The 13,145-nt window shown below is 37.9% G+C and overlaps 1 protein-coding gene across 6 annotated transcripts in view; it reads left to right on the top strand.

Annotated features, from left to right (window-relative positions):
* Positions 1-13,145, top strand: part of SATB2 (SATB homeobox 2) — a 201,767-nt gene that overhangs the window by 26,423 nt on the left and 162,199 nt on the right. For all 6 annotated transcript variants that reach the window (NR_134967.2, NM_001172517.1, XM_005246396.4 and 3 more), the window contains one exon: positions 11,330-11,506. Coding sequence is in view for 5 of the 6 variants with exons in the window: in NM_001172517.1 (NP_001165988.1) it covers positions 11,330-11,506 (177 nt within the window). In the remaining variant the exon portion in view is untranslated. The remainder of the gene's footprint in view (positions 1-11,329; positions 11,507-13,145) is intronic.

Raw genomic sequence — 13,145 nt, 5'->3', positions numbered from 1 at the left:
AATAAATGAACTTATAGAAACTGTCATGTATAGTTTCTTCTATCATCTCCATCTAGATGTAGCGTGATGGTGCCAAGATAAAATAGTAGCTCTTACCTCTTGGGTGATACTCGAGTTCACCCACAAACTTTAAACGTATACTATTAAGTTAACCCCAGATGAAATTCTTTCCTCCTTCAATATGGAGTTTGAAATAATGTTTGACTTGTGTTTCTGTTATTTTGTATTGGGCTTGTCAGAATAGAACTGTTTTGAAACTGGCTTTCTAGGGGGAGGGGGACAACACCAATACCTTTATTTTGTGGCTCAGAAATTATTAATATTTTATCCTTAAATAATTTATGAACCAAGGACTCTAGGGAAAATGAAATCTTTTTGAGATTAAGGTGTTAATACTTGGAATTACTCCCAATTTAAAATGCTGCAGTAGTCTTCCAGGGTTTTTGCTTTGAGGAAGGTAGACTCTTACATTTTATTTAGGGTAAAAGATTTCTCACTTTTTTGTCCAGGAGACAAATCACTTTAGGCTTTGATAACACTTCTCAAAGGCAGTAAAAAGTGGAATAACTCTTTCATTGGCTGGGTGATAGCCTTTGGATAAACATATTCAGGATGAACATAAGGTTTCCAAGAGATTTATATGCAGAGACTTAAATAGTCTCTTTCATTTTTAAAATATTTATTTTAATATTTTATTTTGGAAATTATATAAATTATAAAGAGGATGTATTAGAACCATAAAGTGAAAAAAATGCTAGTTTTCTCTGTTCTGTTTTTCTGATTAATTTCTATAAATTACACAGGCACTACATATATACTTAAAATATTTTGTCTGGGAAGTATTCCATCAGACCCTGGTTTCCCTGGTCTGTAGGCTGGGTTTTATTAACTTGATCTGAGTCACAATAATAATATCCTATGTATTGCAAACCAGAGATCTCAGTCAGATCCCCTAAGGGGACTGGAGAATACACACTATGATTTTGACTTTCTTGCTCTTTCTCCCTCTTGCTTTTTTTTCTCTTTCTCCTTTCAGCGTTAGCCCTTTCACCAGCTTGGTTGTTATTGAGTCTTGATGGATGCATTTGTTGAATATAAGAATGAGAGTGGCTTTTAATGGCTGAGAAATGGTGGTGGTAGTTGCCTGTCTGCTTAAGCTCGGCTTTGTGAAATCTGCATTCATTGCACAGTGTTGCTTTCTACACATCTATTAAGTATCCGTAAATGTTTTGCTGTTTGAACTCTAAACATAGACAGTAGGATTTTCTTTTTGTGAGGGAGAAAGCCTTTTTTTTTTTTTTTTTGCTATAACTTTACTTTTCAGTTTTTATTTGATAAAAATCTCTCCATTCTAGTATGATTTCCTTTGAGGCTCTGCACCAGTGTTTGATCTCAATTTTTAATAATTTTTGTGAGTTAAACTCCCCAAAGAAAACATGCTTGTGCTATGAAATATTCCCACTAGAAATCTGGGTAGTCTTGTCTTATTGAGAGCTGAGCACTTGATTCCTTTATTAATTCCTTTCAAGAGGACCTCAGTACTGTTAACCTTTCCTTAACACTACACTGGAGAAATTAATCAAGCTGTTTTTTTTTAATTGTTTGAATTAGATAAAATAACATTTAGGCAGAGCTCAAAACCTGAAGTAAATGTTAGTATAAGGACAATTTTCATTGACTCCTTTTTTGATGCATGGGACTCTGAGTTGCAAATAGCTTTTCCAGAGAGGATGATGAGAATAAGGTGGGGAGGTGAATCGATCTCTGCTTAAATACTATTTTCGACAGAGTGAGACTCTGTCTCAAAAAAAAAAAAAAAAAATTCTCAGAAACCTCCAGAATGAAATTTTACTTAACAAAGGACAGAAACCCTAGCATTCATAAATTATGGTAGAGTCATTTTTAACATGTGGTCGAGTCTCAGGACTTATACATATATGCATTTTTAACCTATCGTAAAAAGAACCTGAAGAATTTAGGCTTGAACTAAGGATACTTCAACAATATGCCATACCCTTGAACTTTTCTGTTATATTCAAACTTGTATATCCTGTTTTTTTCCTTTCTATTTTTAAAAGTTATTTAATTATTTATTTTAGAGATGGATCTGGCTCTGTAACTCTGGCTGGAGTGCAGTGGTGAGATCATTGCTCACTGTAGCCTCGAACTCCTAAGCTCAACTGATCCTTCCACTTCAGCCTTCCAAGTAGCTGGGTTTAACAGGCTCTGGCCACTGTGCCCGGCTCTTTTGTCCTTATAACATTTTTTGTTGTTGTTTTTTAAATTCTAGGATCATTAAACATTTTGTCTTTCTGTAGTTACTAAATTTAGAAAAGATACTGTAGTCTTTCAGTGCAGGACATGGGTAGGACTGCCGACAAGACCCCCGTGGCTCTAGGGTGTATACAGAGCATGGTGCAGCATGCCACTTTGTTACGCACCCATCCATGCGATGCCCGTGGTGATACCCTGACAAGTTCTGTCAATAGTGGTCACGCACAGCGCTGTGATCTGGCCAACATCCCCTGGACAACATGGAGCAAGCTCCTGAATCCACTTATGTGGATCATTTCCTAGAAAGCTTTCCTTGTTTGCTGATGCTGAGTGCAGTGCAATGGGGCCAGAGTGATATGGACAAGTTTGACAGCTAGGCAGACACTGCCTATTAATGGTGGTGATTAATATCTAACTGGAATTGGCATTTTGTTAGATTAACCAACATTTATTTTGGGCCTACTATATAGGTCAGGCTCAGGGTTGGGAGGGGCATGAGGCAGCTAAGTCCAGCCCATGTTTGAGGAGGAAAACGGTGGGCCTCTCCTCTACACCCACTAGAGCCTTGGCATTCCTGACATCAGAGAATTTAGTTCCGTAGGTCAGGCTTGCTGTGGCAGAGTTCCCAGGTGTGGCTCAGGCTTCTTTTGTTTAGATAAGCTGCCACAAATTGCCTCCTATGTGCCCATGAAATACTGTTTTGCAAACTGCCTGGCCAATTTGATCTTGCCACTAAATTTCTATAACCGAAGGATGTTTAGAGACCTGGAGTTTCTCCTTCAGCCTTCGGACCTGACTTCAGGTTGAATTGTGATTGCTTTGCCTGGAGTCAGGCCTGGAATCAGAGATGTGGAAGGCCAGAACTCATCTCCCTTCCCTACCACTTTAGGCCCAGTTTGATCCTTCGGGGTGGTCAGTGAGCGAGGACTAGCGTCCACTCTCCCATCCTCATCCCTGCCTATTTTTGTTCTTATTGTCCAAAGTTAAGATTGGCCTCAGGGGTTGCAAAGTAGTATCTGGTTTTACTAGAGAGAATTCTGAGAATAAGCTATTTCTTGATATCATTCTCAACCCCATTGCCCCCACAAATAGTGGGAGAGCCATCAAGGAGTTTATTATCAAATAAATCAATATTAAATGTTATTGAATATTATTTCATAATAAATAATAAAATTGAGAAATAATATTCAATATATTGTAAAGTACACATTCTCTGAAAAATTCACTTGTTTTTCTAGTTGGTTTTTTCTTAACTCTTATTCAATATTTCTTAACTCTTAATTTCTTACTCTTATTCAATATTATTGAATATTATTTATTATTTAGTTGGAGGTCTAATCCTGAGTTGCACCTGGGTCATGGGTAAATATGAAATTGAATTATTGTATGTATGGCTCAGTTTGTACCTAAGAGTAATTATGATGGCTGGGCAAGGTGGCTCACACCTATAATCCCAGCGCTTTGGGAGGTCGAGGCAGGCGGATCACCTGAGGTTGGGAGTTCAAGACCAGCCTGACCAACATGGAGAAACCCTGTCTCTACAAAAATACAAAATTAGCCGGGCACGGTGGCACATGCCTATAATCCCAGCTACTTGGGAGGCTGAGGCAGGAGAATCGCTTGAACCTGAGGTGGAGGTTGCAGTGAGTCGAGATTGCACCATTGCACTCCAGCCTGGGCAATAAGAGTGAAATTCCATCTAAAAAAAAAAAAAAAAGTAATTATGATGCAGAGTTTGCCTTCCTCATAACTGGAAAATTGACTGATCTCTACCTGTAAACCACTTAGAACTTGCTGCTGTCCCACCTCTGTCTTGGCTTCTGCTTCCTCTACGATAAGAGTTAAGAAAAAGCCAACTAGAAAAACAAGTGAATTAATGTTTCAGGGAATGTGTAGTTTACAAGCAAAGGACAGGGAGGAGCGTTGAAAACTGGAGCAGCTGGGGGAGCCTAGAGGGCCTCTGGTCCACCTGTGGACCTGTGGGTGGCTCCCTTTGCATCCAAATGATTGCTCTGCTCTCTCCTTTAAAATTGGTGAAATTTTTTTTCTACTGTTTCTTATTATACTACCTGAAATTTCTTCCATGAGAAATTTATTTGAAATAAAATATATATTATACTGTGAAGACCTAGCTGAGGAGATTAAGGAGAACACTAAACCATTCAAACAGTGTAGCAAGCATCTTTTTATCTATTAATCTGTGGAATTTTTGAGATCAGCCCCTGGGGGGAGTAGGAGGCTGGAGTGGAATGTAGAGCCTGTGGCTGCCTTAGCCCAGGGGGCTGGGTGCCTAGTAGAGGACAGCAGGGCCACAAAGAGGAGATTAGGAAGGACACACTGCATCCCTTTTAGAAATTTTTCCTGAGACCCCAACAGGGAGGTGAGAAACACCCTATTCTTTCTTTCTATTTATGGTTGCAATTTTAGGCACTCAGGCTTTTCTTCATTATTATTATTATTATTTGAGGCAGAGTCTCTTTCTGTTGCCCAGGCTGGGGTGCAGTGGCATGGTCTCGGCTCACTGCAACCTCTGTCTCCTGGGTTCAAGCCATTCTCCTGCCCTCAGCCTCCCAAGTAGCTGGGATTACAGGCGCCTGCCACCATGTCCGGCTAGTTTTTGTATTTTTAGTAGATACGGGGGTCTCACCATGTTGGTCAGGCTGGTCTCGAACTCCTGACCTCAGGTGATCCGCCTGCCTTGGCCTCCCAAATTGCTGAGATTACAGGTGTGAGCCACTGCGCCCAGCCTCTATTATTTTAGGATGGAAAGAAGGGGCTAGTGGTTAATGTTGGCAAGTTACTTCTCTTCTTGTCTGTGACTCAGTATGTATGTGTATGATTGTGTCAGTGTGAGAGAGAGAGAGACAGAGAGAGATAATGAGAATATGAGGTTATAGAACAAGTAAATCGTTGTTTTGATTTTCTGGTAAATTTACAATAAGAAAAAATAGTAGCCATCCCTCACTTTTTCTCTCTGTCCTCTTGAAGACTGTTATTCACTCAGTTTATGTGGTAAAGTTTGTTTCAGTATTTCAAACAGATTGTTCTTTGGTACTTCAGGTTCAGTTTTATACGAAGAAAAGATATGCAAGGCTTTGCCCTACAGTCTTTATAATCTCCAGTTAGCCCTCGGACCTTCTCAGGTGATAGAACTAGATAAGCTGCAGGCTCCAGGGAAGGGAGTGGGCCCTGTCTGCTGCCTTCCTTCAAGAGACAGATGGGCTTCAGGAGCTCTTTGAAAGAGGGGAGGCGAAAGCCTGGCCTCCTCTCATCTCAAACTGGCTCCTGTCATTCAGGAGTGCTGGTGGACCAAGGAGACAAAGGAGCTAGGGAGGAGGCTGGAGACAGTGCTGATTTACACTAGAGTATGACCATTCATGTGAGCCTTTGTTTCTTTCTTTGTCTGTGAATAACGGAAGGGCAGGAGCCCTCTTAGTTTCCCCCTCCATGCCTAGCATGGTGCCAGACACCTGGTAGGCAGACAAAAGGTGAATTCACTTACAAGTAGTACAGGTCACCCATTGGACATAGCAAGTGGTAAAGGGTCCTTTTTATTAAGAGGCCAAGCCCTTAGATTTCAATGGATGTGGATTCTGGAGTGTTGTTTTCAACTCTCAGGAAAGCAGCCTGCTTGGGATTTAGAGCTGGATAACCTGAACTATTCTGCCCTTGCCTTGCTGTGTTTTTTGGGGCATGTTACTTCTCCCATAGTTTCAGTTTCCTAATTTATTAACTGAAAATAATGCTAACCCTGTCACAGAGTAAATGTGAGAAGATAAAGGTGTGTATGTTAGACTACATGATGATCTAGGAAGTGCAGTGCAAAGCAGGGGTTTATTTCATGTCCCAACTTTGGCGCAAGCCCATTGAATCCTGTCACCTAGACGCCCTGCTGCAGCTGCACCATCTTTCGTCTTTCATTGTTGGGTTAAACATTCAGAGCCTTCCAGAATACGCATTCCTCAGGTCACTTTCATAGCCAGTGTTGTGACATTTCCTGAAGTCTATTCTTTAAAATGAAGGCAAGGGGGAAAGAGCTGTTCCCTAATAAAAGAAGTTGGATTAATATAGTTAGTAATAAAACAGCAGCCTGCAATTGCAGAGAAGGTAACACGTTGGATTTTGGAATTTAACCAAGAGTGCTTCTGTCTTCAGGACTCCTAAGAGCTGGAACACAGAGGAAAGACAGCTAAAGGGCTCACGACAGTCACACTATTGGCCTAGTATCAGTTTGTGATAAATGTATCCTGTGTGAGAAAAAATTATATATTGTTATTAGGCAGATTCATTAGAACAGTGCTCTCTGATACTAATACAAGCCACATGTATAATTTTAAATTTTCTAGTAGCTACACTAAAAGTTAAACAGGTGAAGTTAATTTTAATAATATATTTTATTTAACTCAATATATTCAAGATATTCTACACACAATTACTTTTAAAAAATAATTTTATTTTATTTGTTTTTGTTATTAAGTCATTAAAATCTAGTATGTATACTTACGACACATCTCAATTTGAGACTAGCTATGTTTCAAGTACTCAATTGCTACATGAAGTTAGAGGCTACTGTGATGGACAGGTAGTTTTACTGTGCTTTTAAGCACTTTCACCTTTTTTGCCATGGGGCATGTTAAACACTTTAAGCCAGTTGTCATTTGCATAATAGGCCATTCAATAATTATTAGTATCATCTTTATTCTGAAGAAATGCCTTTTAGTATCGTGAACATTGATTATAGGCCTTGAAAAAAATTACTGGTTAATTTTTTTCCTCTGTAAAATGGTATTAATACCGATTTTGAAAAAAAGGAAAACAAATAGATTCCATTGTTTGAGAGCTATCTGTCAGACAACTTAAATATGTAAAATTGTTTAATCTTCACAACAGATCTATGATGTAGATATTGTTTGCATTTTGGCTAGGAGGAATTGGAGCTTCAGAGAGGTAAGATGAACTACTCAAGGTCACACACAGGTAAAAAGGGACAGTGCCAGGACTTGACCCTGACCTGGTGCTGTTCATCACCACATCTAACCATTTTCCCACATGTCTCAGTTCTCACAGCTGTTGCTGTGAACAGTGGCAGTTACAATGGTTAACGCTTTATAAATTATACACACTTCTTTAGAAATAATGTCAGAATGAAAATGACAGTTTCAGTATCATCACTAATGACAGTTGGAAAAATGCATTTTTCTAGTGTAGAGAGGGTACCAGGCTTGTTTTGCCTCTTTGACAACAGAATTCATCATTTATCCCAATTACCAGAACAACTCTTCATTTTTAGCAAATGGCTGAGGCCGAGCGCCTGTCCTCTAGATTAAAGTACCTGCTTACCTCCTGTGATTGTAAAAGGCTTAGTAAGGCTTATGATCAGAAGGTTCAAAGTTCTCTACTAGATCATCTGAAAATGGGTCTGTGCTACAATAAAAGAAAAATAATATTGGAAGCTCAAGATATAGGGCTAGAGCAAGATTTTCTTTTTTCTTCACCATTTCTAAATTTTGTTGAAAATGGATTTCAGTTTTACATTTTTATTCTTTTATTGGAACTTTTAAATTCTCCCCACTCTTAATTTATTCTGTGAAGTGCTTTTCAAGCACCTCCCTATCTTTCTATCCATTGTCACTTTTCTCTCTCTTTTTTTTTTCTTTCTTTTTCCCTCTTTTTGCCTGGGACGAGTTGTTAATAAGATGGACAAATCTCTCTCTCTCTCTCTCTCTTTCTTGGCATATATTTTTACTCATCCTTTTATAGTTTGCTTCCCTTAGGGATTTCTGGTTTTTAAAGGCCTTTTAAACCTGTGCCTTAATTTTCTTCTTTCTACACTTGACCTCAATGATACTATTTTACTATTTTTTATTTCTCTTGTTATTGTCATTAGTAATTGCATCTATTTTTCCTCCTTTATTCTTCTTTTGTAAAACTTGCATTTCATTATAAAAACCATAATTGTTTAGATGGGTCAAATTCTAGTAAGAAGGTAAATTTTTCTAAGAATAAGCCCTTTATGATATTCTTCAGTATCTCATGTATATGTTCTGCAGAAGAAACCCTATTATCATACATACGTTCCTGGTTAGTACTGTTTTATTTTATAAATGACCACAAAGTTTTGTTTTGTTTTGTTTTGTTTTTTTTTAAATAGATGATGCCAGTAGGGGATTGTTGCATGCTTTCTGTAAGAAGTCATTACTGTTGTCAGCTAACAATTGCTTCCTTCAATCACTGAACCAAAATGTTTAGGAACTATTTCAGTAATTGACGGTTATAAAACGTAAGTCCCTACATGTTATAGATCCCTGTGCTTTCATGTTATATTTCATATCTAACTGAACAGTTAATATTATTTTTAAAAATTAATATGGTCTTAAGTTTTTTCAGTTGACCATAGACTTGAGAAAGATTTATAGTTTCTAAGTAATGGAGACATGATAGCTTATGGAGCAATTGGATTCATTTAAAGATCTTATCTTTGATTCCCAGATGTGTGACACTCAGATGTTGACATTAGGAACTGCACATGGATTTTCAGCATCGAAACTTATGTACACACAGGTATTAGTGGTGAAGTAGCTTATGGCACCATGGACTATATGGCCTTATGTGTGCATATGCTTAAATCATTAGAAATAAAAATCTACCTACTTCCTTGGGCAAAGATTATATGCCAGCATGTAAGAGTTAAAAGCTCTAAATGGGGGCTATTCCTTGCTGGTAGGGACTCTCATGAATGAGTCCTATAAAATGCCATTATGCTTGCTTAGGAAGGTTTTACAACTCCTTTAACTACATTGAGGGCAGGAGTGATATCAGACTTGTTCTTACTTGTATCCCTGGAGCCACTGGTGGTGATACCTGTCACATAGTAGGTGTTCAGTGAATAAATCCTGGATACATGAATGACTACAAAGATAATTTGGGGCCAGGCACGGTGGCTCATGCCTGTAATCCCAGCACTTTGGGAGGCCAAGGCAGGTGGATCACCTGAGGTTAGGAGTTCGAGACCAGCCTGGCCAACATGGAGAAACCTCTACTAAAAGTACAAAAATTAGCCAGGCGTGTTGACGGGCGCCTGTAATCCCAGCTTCTCAGGAGGCTGAGGCAGGAGAATCGCTTGAACCCGAGAGGTGGAGGTTGCAGTGAGCCGAGATTGCACCATTGCCCTCCAGCCTGGGCAACAAGAGCGAGAAAAAAAAAAAAAGATAATTTGAAGGAAATCTAATTTATATTATTCGCTACATGTCCTATATATATTTGGGAATAAACTTGGTATAAATAAATAAGCATTTCATATACCAGTAATGATCACAATTAAAAAATATATCTTACAAGGCATTGTGTAGCTGTCCTAAATCTTCTTCTTTGTCTAAAAAATCAGTCTACTCCACTCGTATCTTATATTTTTAAATAAATCTACACCATGGAGAGTGTATTTGCTATAGACAATAATACTGCTTTCTTGTTCTCAGGAGTGAACACTGAGTTGTCTTGTGTGTGATATGGTTTGACTTGTTACACTGTTGTGCAGTCTTAATAATAATTACCATGATCTTTAATGATAACAATTCTTAATGAGTATTATTATTGTTAATAAGGATTATATTTAATAATTACACCCAATACTTATTATCTTTAATAATAATAATTAGCACATGGGAACCAGTTGCACCATTGTATTATCTTTAGAACAAATACCTCAATCTGTAACCCAGTAGTTTGCAGAGTATCTGCTCCCACCCTTGGCTTTCCAGATCAGAGTGAGTCAGGAGGCTTCTAGGGTTGAGGCCACAGGGAGGGGGTTCTGGAAAACTCCTATGCATTCTATGTGTCAGGGGCCATACTCCCATCTAGTCATTTCACACAGAGGTCTTCTTTTTGTTGTGAAGTACCTTCACCATGACCATGTGACTTTCTACCTCCCCCGTCTGCCTACTCACCCAGTCTTCATAAGTTTTAATTTTTCTTGCACAAAAAGAAGACCCATAACATACTAATTTGTGTGAATTACATTAGGCAGGGTCCATGTTTATTACTTGTATGTTGGTAAAACTTTGATCTTCTTCTGCCTTGGTTATGTTTAGATTTAAGTGCCTGTATGACTTTTTTAAAAATAAAAAAAAAGTTTAAAAAAATCTTTGGTGAATTAAACATTTTTTAGCTTTTCACACTTTGATACAAAGCAGAGAAATATTTCAGTGACAACAGATTTCAACAGATTTTCAACTAGACTAATTTGCTTTATTCTTTAGGGTAGTTTACTTATTTTCTCTGAAAACACAAGAAAAGATACTCCCTTTCCAGTAACTGATGTTAATGTATAAAATAATTTTACATAGGCAAACTTTTGTATTTGGATGCATATTTTGACATAAATGTAAATTAAGATGTTTATGATCATGTTATTTTCAGGCTAGTTGATAACCTATTTACTAGGATTTAAAAAAACAACAGCACGTAAGAGGGACTTATTTTAAATTTCTATTGACTTTATTATATTCACATAACAGCTTAGGCCTTAAAATCAATACCACCTTAGTAGGAAGGAGCTGGAAGCTTTGAAATATATTTCCAGACAAGAGAAATATATTACTTTTACACGTAAAAGTAATATATTTAAAGAGAAATATATTACTTTTACGTGTAAAAGTAATATATTTATTACAACTGGAAGCTTTGAAATAGATTTTTAGACAAGAGCAGATCTGATCTGAAAATACTAGTGCTGATAGTTAATGATAAAACTATAGACATTAAAAGATTCGAGTGTCTGTGTGGTCACCTTCATCTCACCTATGTACCAGGACACCTCTAATTGGTGAAAATGACGGGAATCTAAGGGCTTCTGCCACTGCCCTGGGCAATTCTGTAATAATAGAGGGGGAAAACCCACAGCTTTCCATTAGACCTATATGACTAAGAGGCTTGTTTAATCTAAACCACTGTCGATCACAGATGACTGACTTTTATAACTGTTGCTTCCCTTCTCATCGTGGTGACTGAGATTTGCTTTTTAATGTTTGTGTTTTGCTCTTGAATTTTGTCCCTTCAGGTTTGATGATTCCTGTCTTTTGTGTCGTGGAGCAGTTGGACGGCTCTCTTGAATATGACAACAGAGAAGAACACGCCGAGTTTGTCCTGGTGCGGAAAGATGTGCTTTTTAGCCAGCTGGTGGAGACTGCGCTCCTGGCCCTGGGGTATTCTCACAGCTCTGCGGCCCAGGCCCAAGGTATTAATGCCTCTCCCCTCTCCTCCCAAGTCTCTTGTGTGTCATAATTTGAGGAAGAATATGTTTTCTGAAATAGTTCTCCAAACAAAGGTTGAAGGAGAATTGTCAGATTTAGCATTTCCTAGTGAGCAGTAGAATATTTCTTGTAGAAGGTCTTGTTTCTTGTTTTGGGAAGCATTTGACCAGCACTTCTGGAGCCACAAAATCAACTTGCATTTCAAACCGATCATAGATTTTTTTGCATTTATAACACTGTTATTTTCTCTAAGTTAGGACCAATGTTGAGATATTTAACTCCTGACTTATCCAAACTTATAATACATGACTTATAAAGCATTCAGTTTTCCAAATTTATTTATTGCTTTGGGCCTGTGGCTTCTGCACTTTGCAATAAGCTTTTAATTAAACAGAAAAAAAAATGGATGTCTTTTATCCTTTTGTTTCTTTGAAAACTGTTTTGTAGTTTTGATGCAGTCCATTTAGTTAAAAAATATTGCCATGTCTTTATGATCAATTCCTTTCACTTATTTGATTAAATATTAAAATTGCATCATTATTTCAGTGCGTATTGTACAATACTGGGGAGCCCGTTGTGAGCTTCTGTTGTTTCATTTTGAAGTATAGCCCATTGTTCTGTCATGCCAAAGAATTGACAAAACAAATAATAACAAAAATTCTCCCCAAACCTTGAGTGATGAAAAAAAAAAATTGATCTGATGGAATTTATTGTTCTTGTTTTTCAGCTGAAATGGTTGAATTGTATTGTTTATGATTATGGTTATAACCAAAGGAGAGAAATCCGTAACTTCCAGATCTTAGTTTATATGTTAGTGTCCTGTATTACTATCTTTAGTTAACATTTGTGAAGATGCCAAGGATGTTTGTTATTTTTTAAAATGAGTTTCTCTTCATATAATTCCTAAGAACTATCAGTCAGAGCCTCATTTGTACCAATAAGGATACTATGAGAGATTAAACATTGATATAAAGTTACAGATGTGGTGACCAAGGGATTTAAATTCCCAAGCTCTTGAATTTGATTCTGTAAGTAGATGATTGCTTTTTAGGAAATATTTTAAGTATTTAAGTTATACTTTAGTTCTATCAAGAAAGCAACCTAATTGAAATTAGGAATGTTTTCCCAGGGCAGGTAGTACCCTACTAGTTATTGTGAATCCCAGCGCAGTCTGAATCTGAGCGCTGGCCAGGCTGGGCGCAGTGATATAGCTGAATCGTAGAGTCCAGTGCTTTCAAAGCAGCCTGATAAAGGATGATTCATTTCCTTTTTCCAACGACTTTCCTTCTTGTGTGAGGGATTCACGATTTGATCCTGAGCAAATTGCATACTGGGCACCATTGCTTTTATGTCATGCTATGTACTTAAATGAAATAAAAGAATCTCCCTTCCCTTCCCCCCACAAACTTTTCATGCCACTTTAGGGATATTTTTCTCTGAATGTAAAGGTCATTGTATCCCACTGCTTGCACCCTGGTGTGCCAGCTTCCTGTTTGACAGGGCCATCCATCTCAGTTAGCACAGCCGTTCAGCGCGTCGCGAGCTCACATGTGGAACACAGAGCACTAAGTGGCCAAGATTTGATTCTTGGCACATACTGAGGGAAGGGGCTCTCAGGAAATT

This window comes from Homo sapiens, chromosome 2 (assembly GCF_000001405.40).
Source record: "Homo sapiens chromosome 2, GRCh38.p14 Primary Assembly".
Classification (NCBI taxonomy): Eukaryota; Metazoa; Chordata; class Mammalia; order Primates; family Hominidae; genus Homo; species Homo sapiens.
Note: the sequence above shows the minus strand (reverse complement) of the source record. Positions and strands in the feature narration are given on the sequence as shown.